The sequence below is a fragment of the Homo sapiens genome, chromosome 3 (assembly GCF_000001405.40).
Source record: "Homo sapiens chromosome 3, GRCh38.p14 Primary Assembly".
NCBI classification, from domain to species: domain Eukaryota; kingdom Metazoa; phylum Chordata; class Mammalia; order Primates; family Hominidae; genus Homo; species Homo sapiens.
Window position 1 is genome coordinate 121,426,372 of NC_000003.12, and position 19,981 is coordinate 121,446,352.

A 19,981-nucleotide genomic window follows, 5' to 3' on the forward strand; every position below is an offset into this window, starting at 1 on the left:
TTGATTTCCAATTACTATTCTCTGCTAAAAGGAACTGGAGCTCTATGAAGAAATGTCTGATTTTAAGGAACATTTTTGTGTCAGAAAATAAAGTATTCAAAGAATAGGGACATGTCAAAAGGAAACAGCAGCTAGCTTAAGGACATGCTAGCTTAGGACAAGCTTAAGGACAAGCTAGCTTAGGACAAATCAGGTATAATTTGAGCATCAAGGCCAAGTGCAGTGGCTCATGCCTGTAATCCCAGCCCTTTGGGAGGCCAAGGTGGGAGGATTGCTTGAGACCAAAAATTCGAGACCAGCCTGGGTAACATAACAAGACCCTGTCTCTACCCAAAAAAAAAAATAATAATAATAATGAAAAGAAAAAGGAAAAAGCATCAAAAGTCATAACAGTAACTTAATAAGTACACACTAGTCCACATTAATATAAATAAAAGGAGAAAGCAAAAACTCTTTCTTACAATAGAATGTCAACAAATAAATAAATGTAGATGGAATTTTGAAATTACCATTTAGCAACCATTATCATAACGACTTGGGCAACAAATACCAGTGGATGCTAAAACTAGTGAGGTAAAGTGGGACAGAGGAAGAGGACATTTCCATAGTCAAAGTATCTTCACAAAAAAACATTTGCTAATCATAAAGAAAACTGTAACTAGAGAAACATGGCAGACACCATCTTAATCAAGTGATCAGTTACCACCACCAGCAAGGGAACAAATCAACATCATGCGCCACCTGACAGGATGCAGTGAGTGAGAACCCAGTATCACCTCTGCAATATTCCTGCCAAAAAGGCAGAATCAAGGTCTAATCATGAGGCAATAAACAAAACCAAATTGAGTGACATTCTATAAAATATCTGCCCTCTATTAAAAATTTTCAGTGTCATAAAAGTCAAGGAAGGATGTATGTTCTGGATTTAAGGAGACTAGACAGTCATGACAACTAGGTGCAACTCTTAGTCTTGGATTGGACCCTTTTGCTATAAATGACATAACTGGAGAAATTAACAAAACTTGAATGGTGATTTCCGACTTGATTGGGATTCTTGGTAGTATTCTTCAAACTTTTACCTAGGTTTTAAGTTATTCCAAAATAAAGTTATAAAAATAAAATATTTCCAATCTTGTTGTATTACTTGCACTTCAATGGCATTGTCTTCTACCTTTCATAGCAAATGGACAGCGGCTTTGCAGCTTCAACAATAGTCTCGTGAGCTGATTTGGGAATCCAACCATTATTTAAACATTTTTTAAAATGTATTTTAACTGCACAAATAATACATAAATGCATATTGTAATAGTCATATGATAAATTTAGACAAGATCAAGTGAGTATTTCCCTTGGTTACCTCCTACTCATCTAAACTAACGAGTTATAGTTTGCTGTGTTTCCTTCTAAAAAATTTTTCTATGCTGCAACGTGCTTATTCATGTCTCTACTATGTCTCAGATCGTTCTTTGTCAGTACCTATAATTCATTCTTTTTAACTCACTTATATTATCCCATGGTGTCAATAAACCATAACTTGCTACCACTCTTAACTAGTATTTAGATATTTTCCAATCTCTTGATATTACAAACAAGACTGCAGTGAACATCTGCACATGTATTTTGCATACATGCAAGTGTTTTCTCTAAGGAAGATGTTAATGTCAAGTGGAATTGCTGAATTAAAGGGCATGCTCATTTAAACAATTTAAATAGATGTTGACTAAATTATTCTTCTACCAGTGTATAAAAATTAGTCTCATCTTCACCTATTTTCAAATATTTTTATTTTTTCACACTGTGAAAGATGAAAATGGCATCTTATTGTTTTAATTGGAATTTTTCTGATACGAAAAGGTTTATTACTCAGTGAGGCTTTCTGCAGAGAGCAAGGCAACTTGAGAGAACAAGGAAGAGACTGGGTTTTTATTGTGGTCAGAAGGTGGGCCAGGGGTTGCAGCATGGGGCTTGCAGGGTTTGAAAATCCCACTGGCACCAAAGAAGGGAGCATTGGATTTCTTCTCAGCTTACTCAGATGTGGACAGAAGAGGAAGTGGGAGAATAGAGGCTCAAAACTTGTCAGCAAACATCAAAAGATGGAGTCAGACTCTACTACAGATCATTTGTCTATTGTTGATTTTTAAAATGTAGCTTATTTTCTATGACTGAGTTTTCCTTGCCTTTGAGTCTTCCTAGGAATTCTGTAGTCTCTCCCTCTTCCTCCTTACAAGATTGGCTTCTGGGTTTAGGGGAAGGCTTATATTAACTCATGATAAGGAAGGAGGGGTGCTGGTCCTTGTCTTCCTCCTTGGATCCTCTGGGACTCTGTAACAGTGGCTGGTCTGTTGTGACCCTTGAGCACCTTCCACTGATATGTGCTGAAGTACAACTGATGAATGTGTGGTTTGCTCTCACTTGGGGTTAGCACCATATGGTACTCGCTTGCTAACTCAGCCTTACTTAGGCTATGGATCTGCTTTGGATTTGCTGTTGTGCCATGGCCCCTGGGTTAGACAGTTCAGTGTCTTTCATGATTTAACTTTATTGATGTCCCTTTTATACTGAAAATTTTTCTTTATAATGTAGTCAAGTTTTATCTTTTACCTTTATGATTTTAGAACTTTGTTTTAAAGCAGGCTTTTATTTCTATAAAGTCATAAACATTCTCATATTTTTTTAATTTACTTTCATAGTCTTCTTTTAAATATTTAGGCTTTTAATCCATCTGGAGTATTTTGTGAGCATTTGAGATAGAGATCCAACTTGATATTTTTACCAATGGATACTCTTATCACTACATCGCGTTTATGAACAGCCCATCTTTCACCACTAATTTGAAATGACATTTTAATCATTTCTCATATAAGTCTGTTTCTTAAATTCTTTAGTCTGTTTTAATACTCTTACCTATTTCTATCCCCTATATATAATTTGAAACTATTATGTCTTTGTAATACATCCTAATATCTGATACAAATCTTTGTTATTTCTCAAGTTTGATAGGTACTGGTATTTTGTGTGTGTGTGTGTGTGTGTGTGAGAGACAGAGTTTTGCTCTTTTTGTCCAGGCTGGAGTGCAATGGCGCAATCTCGGCTCACTTCAACCTCCACCTCCTGGTTTCAAGTGATTCTCCTGCCTCAGCCTCCCAAGTAGCTGAGATTACAGGCACCCGCCACCACACCCGGCTAATTTTTTGTATTTTTAGTAGAGAGGGGGTTTTGCCATGTTGGCCAGGATAGTCTCGATCTCTTGACCTCGTGATGCACCTGCCTCGGCCTCCCAACGTGCTGGGATTACAGGCGTGAGCCACCACGCCCGGCCAGGTACTGGTTTTTCTTCAGGTGAGTTTTAAGATACTATCTATCTAAAAAATATAAAATCCTGATGAGACTTTGATGGAATTAAAGTTATAGATTAAAAATTAATGAAGTTTTTTGTTGGCATCGCTTCCTCTGGGACATCTTTATCCTTTTGTCACAACCATTTTCCTCATTTATGTAAATTGTGCCTTTACTGTTTCTCAGGTTGCCTATCTACTGTATCTCAAACAGCAGTAGTGTCAGCATTCCCAGGCAGGTAGTTCTTCTGTAATTCCATTTATGTTCAATTTGAATTTCACTTCCAGTGTTATTTTTTACTTCTCTGGTACACTTTGATCTTTATTAGCCAACTTCTACTTTTGATTATCCATTTTTGTATAATGTGGATTTACCACTGGGAGACAAGCAATCAACACAACTACATTTTGCCATCTGCAAGTAAAGTGAATAACAGATGTGAAGTAGCCAATCACAGACAGCCTTTGGAAGAAGTGATGTAACTGGTCCTCATCATGATGCATGTATGAATATCCTGTTACTGCTACCAATTCCACAAACTTACTAGCTCAAAACAATTCAAATAATTGTCTTGCAGTTCTAAAGGACAGAGGTCCAAAATGGTCTTAACTGGGCTAGAGTCAAGGTGTTGGCGGGGCTACATCCCTTCAAAAGGTTCTAGGAGAGAATCCATTTCCTTACCTTTTCCAATTTTTTGAGGGTTCCTGCATTCCTTGGCTCATGGCCCCTTCTTCCAACTTTAAAGCCAGCAGTGTAGCATCTTCAAATCTTTCTCTGTTTCTGTTGTCACATCTTCCCTGACTCTGACCATCTGCTTCCCTCTTATAAAGACCCTGGTGATTACAATGGAACCATTCAGATAATCCAGGATAATCCCCCACCTCAAGATCTCTAACTTAATCACATCAACAAGGTCCCTTTTGCCATGTAATATAATAGTTCACAGATTTTAGGAATTAGGATGTGAACTTTGGGGTGGGGGGCATTATTCTGCATAACACAATGTGCATTTCTTATTTACACAGTGGTTGTGGTTTGAAGAACTATCAGTGAAGTTTGAATTTCATGCAGTTACTCACAGTTAATATCCACTGGTAACTGAAATTTGAATTGTGTTGCAGGGGAGACTCATGTTATTAAGTAAACCATAGTAACTGGGATTTGTGCACATCTGAATCATGCAAAATGGGGATGGCCTGTTTCAGGTCCAGCTGACAGGTCAAACAGAATGAGAAAATGCATGTGACTACACATGCTGGGCCATGGCTGCAGAGAATGAGGCAGAAGGGACTTTTGCTTGCCCTCATGTTTGAAGAACACTCACAGGTAAACAGATTGAGCTTTCTCTTGTGCCAGATCTTTCAAGCCTACCAGAATACTGACAGCACTTCAGCTTCTGAGAAACATAGTACAGGTAAATATGGAAAAAGAAATAATGATATTCTTCCCTCTTACTGCTGCCATCTCTGCCTTTCTCACCCTGCCACCCCAAAAAAACTATGTCTAAGTCTCTTATGCATTAATACCCAACTACTGATAATGCATTACATTTTATAAAGCAACTATCTTTTTTCATTATTCTGATTAATAAACATAAAAGAGCTCTTCTGGTAACTGATTAAGAATATAATCAGTGTTTCCTATGAACAAGCTATGGAGTAACTAAATAAGGGACACTCTTAGACCAACTATAATTTTTAACAAAACAATTGTTGATATAAAGTTTCTCATAAATTCATTTTATTTCAACAGCAAAAAGATTAGCTCCATCCCTCTGATTGGGATCACAAAGTACAATCTTTTCAGCATGGGTTTTCTCACCATGCCACAAACAGAAAGAGGCACTAAGGGACTGATAAGGGGGTATTTTCTGTCTCTGGCAGTATTATATTGACCTGCAATAAAAACATCTGATCTTACAGAACAGGATACCTCTTGAAGAGGTATAGTTTATTTTATAATATGTAAGTATTCCAAATACATTCATTGTATGAATTAGGGAAGGAAAAGCAATAAGAAACATTTCATGAATATTCATTCCTACACTCCAACCATACCAAGTCTTACTACTTTATAGAATTCATAATTTATTAGCCAATACTATTTTAAAATACTATTTCCGTACTGTAAAATTGATATTAGAGGAAAAAAAGTCACACACGATGCCTACCACCACCAGGGTGAAACCAAATCTTTATCTGCCTATGGCTGCTGTCTGGGTCGATTGAGGCAGCAGCTTCATTTTCTTCATGGTTTACCCAGACAGATGTGGAACCAAAGTGCTAAGTGCATATTTCAAGCATCTGTTCTGAATATGTTTAAAGCCACAGTAAGTTACAAAAGGCAAATTCATAGATGCTCTTTGAAAGTGAATGTAACTATTATACTTGGTATTCTACTTCCCCCACGCCCCCAGAAGTTTTTGATGCTATAGACACTGATATATAGTTTGAAACTCTCACTATAAAATTACTAGGCTAAGTCTATCAAGACTTGAAAGTTTGTTTTGCTGAGGTAGGTGAAAGGGTAATCTCTGTTCTTTCCAGGTGACTGCATCTGCACAGGCTTCCCTGGGAGGACTTCATCAACAGCACAGTTACACATCAAAGTCCTTTAGCTCTCCCCAGCTGGCGCCTATTTTCACTTTCACTTTCAATTTCACAGACAGTTTTACAGCACTTTCCATTTCATTCTTGACAATCTGAGCTACCTAAGGAAAAAAAAAATGTAGTTAACAAACTGCCCAGTCAAAGAATGTTTCCCAAACCATCCCCTGAGAAAGTTATAAACCAGACTGGAGCTCTTCACCCAATGGTGCTTAAAATGCTAAATCAGAAAAAATAAAAAATAAAATAAATAAATGAATAAATAAAAAGACATCTCATACTCTTCTTCACTGATGAGCAGGAATTTCTGAAAGTTTTTGCTAGAATGCTTGGAGCTTAGAAACCCTAAGGGAAAGACTCCAAATTTTTGTTTAATTCCTCCAAGACAAAAACATCTTGCATTGGCAATTCTTCACTTATTAAGAACTAGTACAAAACGGAACACTCTTAGCTCCTTTTCTACCTGTAAGGACTCAATATTTATACAGCCATCCCAGGGCTAGGGTAGAGTTCCAAAATCCTCATGCACAGGAAACAAAGCTGTCGGCCTGACAATACAGTGTCTTGTCTTCCTATGGAATGGACACAAGCATTGCAAAAATACCTGAACAACATCTTCTTCTGCCACTTCATATAGGAGTTCATCATGGAGTTGAAGGATGAAGAAGCCTCCTCTGATTGGGCAGAACATCCCTTGCAGTTTTCTCTTTCGTGACAATCCTACTTCATGAAAAAGGAGCAAAACTGATCAGCATGTCGCTAAGTCATAGGAGAATGTTTTTAGAGATTCTGAGTAACTCTGAGGAATTTTAATGAGAAGATTAAAACACACAAGAATAAGAACTATCAGGAAAATAACTACTTGCTGGTCGCTACCTACCCTAAGTATCCGGTATAAACTCACAAACTTCCTCCTAGAAAGAAGGAGTCTCCCAAAGAAGTCAGTAAATGGGGTGTGAGGAACTCTGCTCCAAGCTCTAGTCCAACTTATTTCTCATGAATAACTAACATTTTCTCTATCCATGGAGTCCCCCAACCACCATCTGAGTAATAGCACCAGGGAGGTATGGGGCCTGATTCCTGCCCCAGGAAAGCAAACTAATATTGTTAGGCACTGTTTCTTAAGGGGGACACTCCCTCATGTCTTTTTATGGCCAGAAGTGTCATCGTGATAGAACTGGTGCTTCCCCAATTGAACCGTACACACTCCAAACAAGTAATTGTAAAACCTAGGCTCCCAAAGTGGACTTCAGAGAGTACATAAACCCCTTGCAGTTATATGTAAGAGTCTATGTCTGTACGTTTTTCTGTGGAGATAATCCATACCTTCCAGTAGCCATAACTCCAAAATATATACTAGACTTAGTTACTATTTCCTCATTAGCTGGATCTAGTGGTACAGATTATGCCCTTCTGACCAAAAAGATAAAGCTCAACATGAACACCTTTACTGGAACTGCCTTTACTTGTTTGCTTAAACCTCACAGTAGTCATCTTCCTTTCTGTTGTCCAAATTCCCTACTTATCTTTCAGGTCCAGCATGAGTAACATCTCCCTCAGTATCTGGTGCTTCCCTCAGGGAGAGAGTTCTTCAACTGTCACTATCTGCAGTGCCAGTTTGCTCAGAGGTGGCTCTCACACAGTAAGCAAACAAAATCACCTGAGGCTGCAGCAAGCTGCTTCCACACTAGGACTGCAAAGGCTGTACCTCTGTTCACCTGTTCAGCTGAAATCGGATCTGCCCCATGAAGCCACACTTGGCTCACACCATTGACTGTCTGGATGCTCTAGCTTTTCTGCTTTCTGATGACCATGCCTTTGCCCTCTTGATTTCCCTTGGCTACCTGGCTTCTGACCTAGAATGCCATGATGCTCTTGTTCCCCATATGGTCTGCTTCCTCATGCTCACCTTCCTTTCATCCTACTGACCTAGTGCTACTTTAAGCTGGCATGACATCATGAAGCCATCCTCAGCGACAGAGCCATATCGCCTTCCACTGACTCTTAAAGTCATTACTGTCTGTATCCTCATTTTGACATTTATCACTCTGCTGTGTGGAATTAATACAAATACTTCAGTCAGGTATCATATCTTCCTCTCCTTTCTTAAATAGAACTTAAATTTAAAGATAGATTGATAACTTTTACTTCTAAATCCCCAAAGCACACAGCACAGTATTACTCCCCAAATGAGTTTAATTATATATTCTCTCTCAATTAAATATAAATGTGTATGTGTGTGTATATACACACATAGTCCCACACTGAAAATGAATGAGGGGCCTCAGGTATTTCAAGGGGGACTGATGACAATATTAATAATCCTCACTTAATGAGAAAATAAACTTTTGTTATCTACGTATTTTTGTACGTAAGTGAACACGTTATAACTGGCTGTATTATTCTCTATAACCTGTATGTATGTCTCTTCTAGAAATAGCAAATCTCATCCTCAATAACTAATCATGACCTTTCTGCCCCATCTCTAGCAGCTTTTTCTTCCTCTGTATGCACCAAACCTTAATTTCTTCCCAGGAAAATTTAAAACATGCCTCCTGGCTGGGTGTGATGGCTCACGCTGGTAATCCCAACACTTTGGGAAGCCAAGCTTGGCAGACAGATCACTTGAGGTCAGGAGTTCCAGAAGAGCCTGGACAACATGGTGAAACCCCCTCTCTACTAAAAAAAAAATTTTTTTAAATTAGCCAGGCATGGTGGCACACTCCTGTAATCCCAGCTACTCAGGAAGCTGAGGCAGGAAAATCCCTTGAACCCAGGAGGCAGAGGTTGCAGTGAGCTGAGATCGTGCCACTGCACTCCAGCCTGGGTGACAGAGTGAAACTCTGTCTCAAAAACAAAAAAAGTCTGCTGTCATGGTTTGACAATCTCAGTGACAGTGAAATGGTATTTAAAGCAGAAATATGGAATGTGACAGAAGAAAAAAAGAAAATTTCACTGTACTTGTTAGTACAAGAAATAATTTATCCAAGCAATAAAGGGAAAACTCAGGGAAAATATTCTGAAAGTAAGAACAAGAAAACAATATCAGCAAAGGAACATATGTGATAAAGAGATCAAGAGTATATTCTAAGATCAGAGAACACTGAAGGTCATAAATAGGAATATCAACATATCCTTAAAGTATGGTCTGAAGACCACAGAGGATCCCAAAATCTGCAGTCAAAATTACTTTCATAATAACACTATGAGGCTATTTGCCTTTTTCAGTTTTATTTTCTTGTAAGAGTGCAGCAAAGTGGCCAACTGTCCTGGTATAGAAGTGAAATTCCACATCCTGGGAAACTCATCCGTCTCCCACAAATTGAGACATGCATCATCCCAGACTGTACAGAGTTTCCCAAAGAGGGTTACAGGACATGTGATATTACAACAGATTGAATACAGAAGCAGATACAAACAGCCAGCTGTGTTCTCTTAAGCCAAACATTAAAGAGATTTACACATATGTAAAATAAAGCCACCTATCAAGAATTTTCTTTAGTTCTTAAGAGATGTAGTTATTTTCATAAAAATATGTGACATGTCAAAATATGGTGAGTTTGTAATTACTTTAAATGTTAATGTTTTAAAATTCCCTGTTTTAATTTATAATATGGTAAATATATAGACATAACCCACAAAAACAAGAGCTCTTTGAAATCCTTAATAATTTCTAATAGTATAAAGACATCATGAGACCAAAACATTTGAGAACTGTTGAGAAATAAAATAAAAAATACTTCCCATTTACATTTCTGATACAATTATTCTCATCATGTTACAGCACAGGCCTCATCTATGAACAAACCTGTTTGGTCACTTTGGAGCATACCCTCTCGATGACCATGGGATTTGAAGGTTGAGTGGAAGGTCTCTAATTGCTTCTGAATGTTAACTGTGGCTATTTTGACAATATCAGCTGCTGATCCTTGGACTATTGTGTTGATAGCTTGACGCTCAGCCTAGAAAAAACAATCAACAGGTGCTCCACCAGATATGCCAACATGGTTTCATACTTTCCTTTAGTGTCCACAGTTCAGTGCTCACATTTGCAGCCAGACTGGAAAGCTGGACTGAGATGCAACCCAGAACACCAACTATTAGGCTGCATCCTAAGAATAACACCTATCATGATCCAGGGCTCTAGATTCTGGGGTTTCCACATTAGGGCAGACAAAAATAAGGTCAGATTGCTTCAGCTTAGATATCTTGACTACTCAGTTAGCATCCAAAAACTACTTTGCACTTAGATGTATTTAGCTCATCAGTGTTATAGCTGTTCTAGACATCATTCTAAGAGATCTGCTCCTCAAAATAATCTTAATCCTAAATAAGTAGAATATCATTCTTTGGGAGGGGGGTTGGAATGTCCTAAGCACACCCTCTATACCAATGGCCTCTTGGTCTTTAATATAGAGTGTGAGCCCTGCAGGTATGGAGCCCTCTGATGTGAATCAGAGCTTTTCATGGGCTGCTGAGGCAAATCCTTAGCCGCTAGTGAAAACGCACATCCTAGATCCCTGGGTATTCAGTTACAACTTCCTTGAAATGACTGCTGCCAAGTGCTTCTTGGCAGGGAACCATGCCTACTAAAATTAATCATCTTGGAAGAGTAGAGAAGGGAGTCTGGGTTAATATCCAGGTGTAATCTATATATGAATATCATTCCCGGTGCCCCAAAATATCTAAGAAAATGAAAAAGGTCTACTCCAGGGAAGGGGGTCAATGTAACATGAGAGGTATTCTCTAGTCCTCTGTCATCTGAGCTATACCCAACTTCTAGTATATTAAATGCCTGTAATCTCAGCTACTCAGGAGGCTAAGGCAAGATGATCAGTTAAGACCAGGAGTTTGAAACCAGCCTGGGCAACATAGTGAGACCCTGTCTTTAAGAAAAACAAAATAAAACAAAAACCTCTCTCCACACCTAAAATTACTAATGAGTGGGAGAAAAGGCCAGACACAATGTAGGAGAGAATATTTTCTACACATGTAACCAGTAACAGGTTCCTACAAATTGATAAGAAAAAATGCAGAAAACTCAACAGAAAAATTAAAAAGAAAACCAGAATAGGTATTTACCCATGAAAAAATAACTAAATGGCTAATACACATTTGTAAGGTTGCTCATTTGTAAGATTACCTCACTAGTAGCCAAGGAAACACAAATTAAAATTACAGGATACTACTTTATACCCACCAGAATAGCTAAAATTATATTAGCTTAATAGCAAGTGTCGACAAGAATGCAGAGCAGTGAGGACTCACATACTCTTCTGAAGGGAGGACAAACTGCTATAATCTCCACAGAAAACAATTTGGCTTTATCTACTGAAGTTGAAAATATGCAGCAATCCCACCACTGTGTCTTTACCAAACATAAATGCATGTAAATGTGCACCAAGAACCTTGTACAAGCATGTTCAAAAACATAATAGCTTAGCTTCAAACTGAAAACCCAAGTTCTCATCAAGAGAAAAATAGATAAATTATGGTATATTTATATAAGAGTATACAGCTATTCCTACAAGAAACAAGAATGACTTACCCATGTAATTTTGATAGAAGCTAGATACAAAATATACATATATGATGTATATGGAGCTCAAAAAAATGCAAAACAAAACTATAGTGTTAGAAGTTATAACAGTGGCTATTTCTGGGAAGGCGATGGGTGGTGATTAGGAGGATGCATGAGGGGCGCTTCTGGGGCACTGACAGTATTCTATTTCTTGCCCTGAGTGGTAGTTACACAGGTGTAGCTCTGTGATAATTTAGTGAAATCTACATTCTTTATGTGTGAGAATGTATTTTTCAGTACAACAAAAGTTTGAACAAAAGCAAAAACCAAAACAAAAACCAAAAAACAACCTGGCTGTGTTTACTCTATTCCTAATTCAGAGGGCTGGAATATTTTTCCTCAGCAGCAACATAATGAATCAGAACTTTAACACTGAAGTATTTGGCATGAAAAAGTCTTATTACTCTCTTGCATCTTCAGGTACAATAATATTAATTTTCACAAACTTATATGATTCATTTATATTAATAACTACATATTCCATTTTTTATCATGTAAATTCCAGAAAACATAATCAATTCGTATTATTAGATCGAGTCCAAGTTTCTCAGCCTGCCACTAAAAGCCTTCTGTCATTTAGAAGAAGCCTTTTAGTCTCCTAGGTTCTAGCTGGCTCCATCTATCCAGGAGAAAATTATATACCCCTATGTGACAACTCAAACTCTCCATTCCTACCAGTTTGGCTTCTAGCCAGTCCTCACTCAGTTATCCTTTTGTGATTGTCTTTTTCTCATTCCCAACAGCCTAAACTTTAGCCTTCAAGAATCTGTTTAAGTCTTTCCTTCTCCCTGAAACCTAAATAATTAAGTATATCAATGATGTTTTCATATATATTTTTTTGTTTGCATTATTTCTTCCAAGACTTAAAACTTAAGTTTCCTAGTCCATCAACTAAAGTTACTAGTTCACTTAGAGATATGGTAAAAGCCTGATAAATATCTGATATTTGCATGTGGATATATGGGAGGCTAGAGAGTAAAGCAGTAACAAAAAGCCAACTATTCTTCCACAGTCCCTAAAAGCATTAATGCTCTGAAGGCTTTGAGCTCCAGACAGAAGTTTAGCGGGGTATTTTCATTATATACAATGTCTAATGAGCACTAAAACACAAAGTTATGGGTGAAGGGCAAAAAACATCTAGTTAAAATAGGAAGATATGAACTATACTAGAAGTTTAAATACTTAGGTACACAGAATACTTTCATGAATCCCAATGAATTCAGAAAGACACTTAAACATAATTTGAGCAAATATCAATAAATCTTTTAAGTGCCGTTAAAAATAGCCTTATTCACTATTTGGGATATCTTAATAATCTCTGATGAGATAGTGCCTTTTTTTTTTTTTTTAATTAAACATAGGGTCTCATTCTGCCACCTAGGCTGGAATACAGTGGTTCAATCATGGCTCACTGCAGCCTCCAATTCCTGGGCTCAAGCAGTCCTCCCACCTCAGCCTCCCAAGTAGCTAAGACTACAGGCATTGCACTACCTCACTCAGCTAATTTATTTATTTTTATAGATATAGGTGATCTCACTATGTTGCCCAAGCTGGTCTCAAACTCCTGGGCGCAAGCAATCCTCCTGCCTCAGCCTTCCAAAGTGCTGGGACTACAGGCATGAGCCACTGTGCCTGGCCAGATAGTGCTTTTAAAATAAGCAAACAAGTAGAATGAACCAAAAATTAATCAAAATTTAGTGACTGGCTAATCTCTGAGGAATGTTAGCAATTTGGTATGATATGATAAATTAGTATATGGTATAGGAAACAAAGAATAATTAGCAAATGTAAAAATTAAGTTTATTTACAACTTAGTACCTAAGCTAATAAATAATTGGTTTACTGCAACAGAACATGTTTAAAGTATTATTAAGTAAACACATGTTTACATTAATCCCCCAGACTCTGTTCAGCAAATACTGGCATGTGCCATCACTTCAGAAGTCCTTAATGAAACCAATGGTTGACGTTGTCTATACAGAAAATCCAATTAATATGCCAGTAATCCCTAAAACGGATATTTGTAGTATTTACTCTGCTGAAAAAGTACATGTCATTGAAATGTTAAGTTAAAATTCCTAAAAAATTTCAACATACGTGAGCTTTACGATAAGGGTTGTTGTCTTTGATTCCTGGCAAATATCTACGCCTTCCCAAAATGGTCTGAACAAATCCGTCTCTTTTACAATTCTTCACTGTCTCTGTCATGAATTGATTAATCCCTACAAAGAAAATACAGAAATAATTAATTAGAACCAAAGTCTATCCTTCACTTCATTCACTGGCTTAAATATGGCAAAATACACCAAAACCCCACGATGATTCTTAACATTAATATCATATCGTCAAATCAGGCATGCGAACTTTCATTCACTTTTTCTAGACTCAAAAAGTTAGAAATAAAAGAGACTTTAGAAATGAAATACTCTAACTCTTTGGGTTTTTTTGTTTTTGAGACAGGATCTCGCTCACTCTGTCACCCAGGTGGGAGTGCAGTGGTGCTATCATGGTTCACTGCAGCCTGGATCTCCCCAGGCTCAGGAGATCCTCCCACCTCAGCCTCCTGCCTAGGTGGGACTACAGGCACCGCGTCACGATGCCAGGATAATTTTTATATTTTTTGTAGAGATGAGGTTTCGTAATGTGGCCCAGGCTGGTCTCAAACATCTGAGCTCAAGCGATCTGCCCACCTCCGCCTCCCAAAGTGCTAGGATTACAGGTGTGAGCTACTACATGGCCTTTGTTTTTTGAGTAACAACAACAAAAACAAAACGTAAAACTAAAAATTCCAGAACGGGGCAGATATCTAGGTGTCTTTATTCCAGGATCTTAAGACTATTCCACATCACTTTTCACAAGTGTCTGTTGATTGTGTGAATCCCCTTTTACTCTTTCATCTTATCATTCCTAGGTTTAAAACATTTCAATAGCTCCTTGTTACCATCTACACTATGATCCAAAGTAGGACCTTGCTGAAATTAATGCATGAGTTACGATAAATATTTCACTAGGAATAAACATGACCCACTTCTTAAAATAAAAAAAAAACTATGTGTAGTGTAGTATTCCAACATATTTGTATTTCCTAGACCAACATTCATCCTTTGCAATCTGGGTCAGTCATTATGTCTTAAGCATCTCCAGGATGAATCCTTTGCTGTTGGTGATATGTAATCAATAGCATGGGAATTTCCAAAAGCCACTGGACTCTCATCTTTTTCTGTTTAAGAATTACTGTGATATTTTTGGGTAAAGAGGAAAGAAAAGGGTGAGATTTAAGAGGCTGTACTTCTACAAAATCTCTTACCAAACTCCTATAGGAGACCTCCAAATACTCAAATTGAAAGAGCTACTTTAAAAAAAAAATCAGTGCTGAGGTATAATTTACATGCAACAAAATACACTCGCTTTAAACAGCTTGAGGCATTTTAACAAATATACACACCCCTGCAGCTACTACTACAAGATACAAAACATGTTCATCTCCCTTTACAGTCAGGCCCCATGATCACCCTCAGACACTCACTCATCTGCTTTATGATACTCTTAAGTTTTTCATGTTCATGAATATCATACAAATTGAATGACACTGTATATGCTCATTTGTGTCTGCCTTCTTTTGCTAAGGAAAACATTTTTAAGAATCATCAATATTGTACTGAATATCAATATTTAATTACTATTCCTTGATCTATACTACTCTGTTGTGGAGGTATAACAAAATTTGTTTATACATTTTCCTGTTGATAGACATGTGGCCTGTTCTCAGAATCTGGCTGTTGTGAATAAAGCTGCTATAATATTCACATACGAGCCTTCCTTTGGACATGCTTTCATTTTTCTTGCACAAATACGATAGTAGAATTGCACGGTTATATAGTTAAATGGATGTTTAACTTTACACAAAAAAGCCATACTGTTCTCCAAAGTAGTTTTACCATTTTACAAATAAATGAACAACGTAAAAGACTGTGTTTTTAATATTGGCCATTCTAGTGTTTTTGTAATGGCATCTCTTTGTTTTTGGCATCTCAGTTTGCTTTTGCTTGATGACAAATAATGACAATGTTTAATATGGTCATTCATATCTTTGGTAAAGTGTCTCTTCAAATTTTCTGACTTTTAATTTATCGGATCGTCTAGCTTCTGAGCATTGAATGGTAAAAGTTCTTCATATATTCTGGATATACATCCTTTGTTCGATGGAACTACTGCAAATATTTCTTCCCAGTTTGTACCTTGCTTTTACATTTTTCATAAATTTTTAATTTTTGTGGGTATATAGTAGGTGTACATATTTATGGGGTACATGAGATATTATGATACAGGCATGCAATGCATAATAATCACATGAGGGAAAATGGGGTACCCATCACCTCAAGCATTTATCATTTGTGTTGCAAACATTCCAATTATACTCTTTTAGTCATCTTTAAATGTACAATTAATTATTATTAACTATAGTCACCCTGTTGTGCTAGCAAATACTAGTTCTTAGTCATTCTAACTATTTCTTTGTACCTATTAACAATACCCCCTACCCCCAATACCCTTCCCAGCTTCTGGTAACCATTACTCTACTCTCTATCTCCACGAGTTCAATTGCTTTAATTTTTAGCTGAGTGACAAATAACTGAGAACATGTGAAGTTTGTCTTTCTGTGCCTGGCTTATTTCACTTAACATAATGACCTCCAGTTCCATCCCTGTTGTTGCAAATGACAAGATCTCATTCTTTTCTATGGCTGGATAGTACTCCATTGTGTACCTGTACATTTTCTTTATCCATTCATCTGCTGATGGACACTGAGGATGCTTCCAAATCCTGGCTATTGTGAATAGTGCTGCAATAAACATGGGAGTGCATGCAGATATCTTTTCAGTACACAGATTTCCTTTCTTTTGGGTATGTACCTAGCAGTGTGATTGCTGGATCATATGATAGCTCTATTTTTAGTTTTTTGTTTTGTTTTGTTTTGTTTTTGAGATGGAGTCTCACTCTGTTGCCCAGGCTGGAGTGCAGTGGCGTGACCTCAGCTCATTGCAACCTCTGCCTCCCGGTTCAAGCAATTCTCCTGCCTTAGCCTCCCAAGTGGTTGGGATACAGGTGCCCACTACCATGCCCGGCTAATTTTTGTATATTTAGTAGAGATGGGGTTTCACCATATTGGCCAGGCTGGTCTCAAACTCCTGACCTTGTGATCCACCCGCCTCAGCCTCCCAGAGTGTTGGGATTACAGGCGTGAGCCACCATGCCCAGCCTATTTTTAGTTTGAGAAACCTCCAAACTGTTCTCCACAGTAGTTGTACTAATTTACATTCCCACCAAAGGTGAATGATGGTTCCTTTTTCTCTACATCTTCGCCTGCATTTGTTATCACCTGTCTTTTGGATAAAAGCCATTTTAACTGGTGTGAGATGATATCACATTCTAGTTCTAATTTGTATTTCTCTGATGATCAATGATGTTGAGCACCTTTTCATAAACCTCTTTGCCATTTGTATGTCTTTATTTGAGAAATGTCTGTTCAGAGCTTTTGTCCATTTTAAAATCAGATTTTTTTTCTGCAGAGTTATTTGAGCTCCTCATATATTCTGCTTATTAATCTCTTGTCAAATGGGTATCTGCAAATATTTTCTCCCATTCTGTGGGCTGTCTCTTCACTTTGTTGGTTGTTTCCTTTGCTGTGCAGTTTTTTTTAAACCTGATGTGATCTCATTTGTCTATTTTTGCTGTGGTTGCCTGCGCTTGTGAGTATTGCTTAAGAAATCTTTGCCCAGACTGATATACTGGAGAGTTTCCCCCATGTTTTCTTGTAGCAGTTGCACAATTTGAGGTCTTAAAGTTTTTAATCCATTTTGATTTTATTTTGTATATATAGAGAGATAGGGGTCCAGTTTCATTCTTCTGCATATTCAGTTGTCCCAACACCATTTATTGAAGAGACTGTCTTTTCCCCAGTGCATGTTCTTGGTACCTTTATTGAAAATGAGTTCACTGTAGATGTGTGGGTTTCTTTCTGGGTTCTCTATTCTGTTCTACTGATCTTTGTGCCTGTTTTATACCAGTACTATGTCATTTTGGTTACTATATGTCTGTAGCATAATTCGAAGTCAGGTAATGTGATTTCTCCAGTTTTGTTCTTTTTGCACAGGATAGCTTTGGCTATTCTAGGTCTCTTGTGGTTCCATGTAAATTGTAGTACTTTTTTTTTTTCTATTTCTGTGAAGAGTAAAGAATGTCATTGGTATTTTGATAGGGAATGCATTAAATCTGTTGATTGACTTGGGGAGTATGAACATTTTAACAATGTTGATTCTTCCAATCTATGAACATGGAATATTTTTTCATATTTTTGTGTCCTCTTCAATTTCTAGTATCAGTGTTTTATAAGTTTTCCTTATATAGATCTTTCACTTCTTTGGCTAATTCCTAAGTGTTTAATTTTATTTGTGGCTATTATAAATGAGATTACTTTCCGGATTTCTTTTTCAGATTGTTTGCTCCTGGCATATAGAAATGCTACTGATGTTTGTATGTTGATCTTGTATCCTGCAACTATACTAAGGAATTTGTTTATCAGTTCTAATAGTTTTTTGATGGAGTCATTAGGTTTTTCCATATATAAGATCATATCTTCTACAAACAAGGAGAATTTGACCTCTTCCTTTCCAGTGTGGATGTCCTTTATTTCTTTCTCTTATCTGATTGCTTGAGCTAGGACTTCCAGTACTATGTTGAATAACAGTGATGAAAGCAAAAGTGGGCATCCTTGTCGTGTTCCAGGTATTAGAGAAAAAGGCTTTCACTTTTTCCCCATTCAGTGTGACACTAGCTGTGGGTCTATCATACCCACAGCTTTTATTATGTAGAGGTATGTTTCTTGTAAACCCAGTTTTTTGAGGGTTTTCATGATGGAATGTTGAATTTTATCAAATGCCTTTTCAGCATCAATTGAAATGATATTGTTTTTATCCTTCATTCTGTTGATATGATGTATCACATTGATAGATTTGCATATGTTGAACCATCCTTGCATCCCAGGGACAAATCCCACTTGGTCATGATGAATGATCTTTCTAATATATTGTTGAATTCCATTTGTTACTATTTTGTTGAGGATGTTTGCATCAATTTTCATCAGAAATATTGGCCGGTAGGTAGGTTTTGTTTGTTTGTTTCGATATGTCTTTGTCTGGTTTTGGTATTAGGGTAATACTGGCCTCACAGAATGAGTCTGGAAGTGTTCTCTCCTCTTCTATTTTCCAGAACAGTTTCAGTAGGATTGGTATTAGTTATTTAAATTTTTGGTAGAATTCAGCAGGGAAGCCATTGAGTCCCAGGCTTTTCTTTGTGGAAGACTTTTTATTATGGCTTCGATCTCATTATTTGTTCTTAGACTGTTCAGGTTTTTTTGTTCTTAGACTGTTCAGGTTTTAGATTTCTTCATGGTTCAATCTTGGCAGGTTGTATGTGTCTAGAAATTTACCCATTTCTTCTAGATTTTCCAAATTACTGGCATATAGCTGCTCATAGTAGCCACTAATGATCCTTTGAATTTCTGGAGTATTCATTGTGCTGTCTCCTTTTTCATTTCTGATTTTATTTATTTGGATCTTCTCCTTTTTTCTTAGTCTGGCTAAAGGTATGTCAATTTTATCTTTTCAAAAAACCAACTTATTTTCAGGCCAGGTGCAGTGGCTCAAGCCTGTAATCCCAGCACTTTGGGAGGCCAAGATGGGCAGATCACTTGAGGCCAGGAGTTCATGACCAACCTGGCCAACATGGCAAAACTCTGTCTCTACTAAAAATACAAAAACTAGCCAGGCACGGTGGCACATACCTGTAATCCCAGCTACTTGGGAGGCTGAGACAGGAAAATTGCTTGAACCCAGGAGGCAGATGTTGCAGTGAGCCAAGATCACGCCACTGCCCACCAGCCTGGGTGACAGAGCAACACTCCATCTCAAAAAAAAAAAAACAACCAATAACCAACTTTTTGTTTTGTTGTTCTTTTGTATACTTTGTTTCAATTTCATTCTTTATTTCTGCTCTGATCTGTATTATTTCTTTTCCTCTACTAATTTTGGATTTGCCTTGCTCTTACTTTTCTAGTTTTTTAAGATGGATTGCAGGTTATTTGAAGTTTTTCTTCTTCTTTTTTTTTAATGTAGGCACTTATAGCTATAAACTTCCTTCTTAGCACTGCTTTTGCTGTATCCCATAGGTGTTGGTGTGTTGTATTTCCATTGTCATTTGTTTCAAGAAATTTTAAATTTTCTTTCTTAATTTTTTAATTGACTCACTGGTCACTCAAGAGCATATTGTTTAATTTCCATGTTTGTATACTTTCCAAAATTCCTTGTTAGTGATTTCTAGTTTTATTCCATTATGGTCACAGTAGATACTTGATATTAACTTTCTGAATATTTTAAAACTTGTTTTGTTATCTAACATA

General features: G+C 37.2%; 1 protein-coding gene across 1 annotated transcript in view, besides 1 other annotated feature; it reads right to left on the bottom strand.

Annotated features, from left to right (window-relative positions):
* The window catches only part of POLQ (DNA polymerase theta), a 114,558-nt gene continuing 99,636 nt past the window's right edge, over nucleotides 5,060-19,981 (bottom strand). Inside the window, exons 27-30 of the mRNA NM_199420.4 lie at nucleotides 13,621-13,745; nucleotides 9,751-9,904; nucleotides 6,547-6,662; nucleotides 5,060-6,046 (exon numbers count right to left, since the gene is read on the bottom strand). Coding sequence (NP_955452.3) covers nucleotides 5,933-6,046; nucleotides 6,547-6,662; nucleotides 9,751-9,904; nucleotides 13,621-13,745 — 509 coding nt within the window. The 3' untranslated portion in view covers nucleotides 5,060-5,932. The remainder of the gene's footprint in view (nucleotides 6,047-6,546; nucleotides 6,663-9,750; nucleotides 9,905-13,620; nucleotides 13,746-19,981) is intronic.
* Nucleotides 5,888-5,937: an enhancer, noted in NCBI's record as "active region_20340". NCBI's record gives its function as "activates an Ori minimal core promoter by ATAC-STARR-seq in GM12878 lymphoblastoid cells {active_cell/tissue: GM12878}" and the evidence as "EXISTENCE:reporter gene assay evidence [ECO:0000049][PMID:35858748]".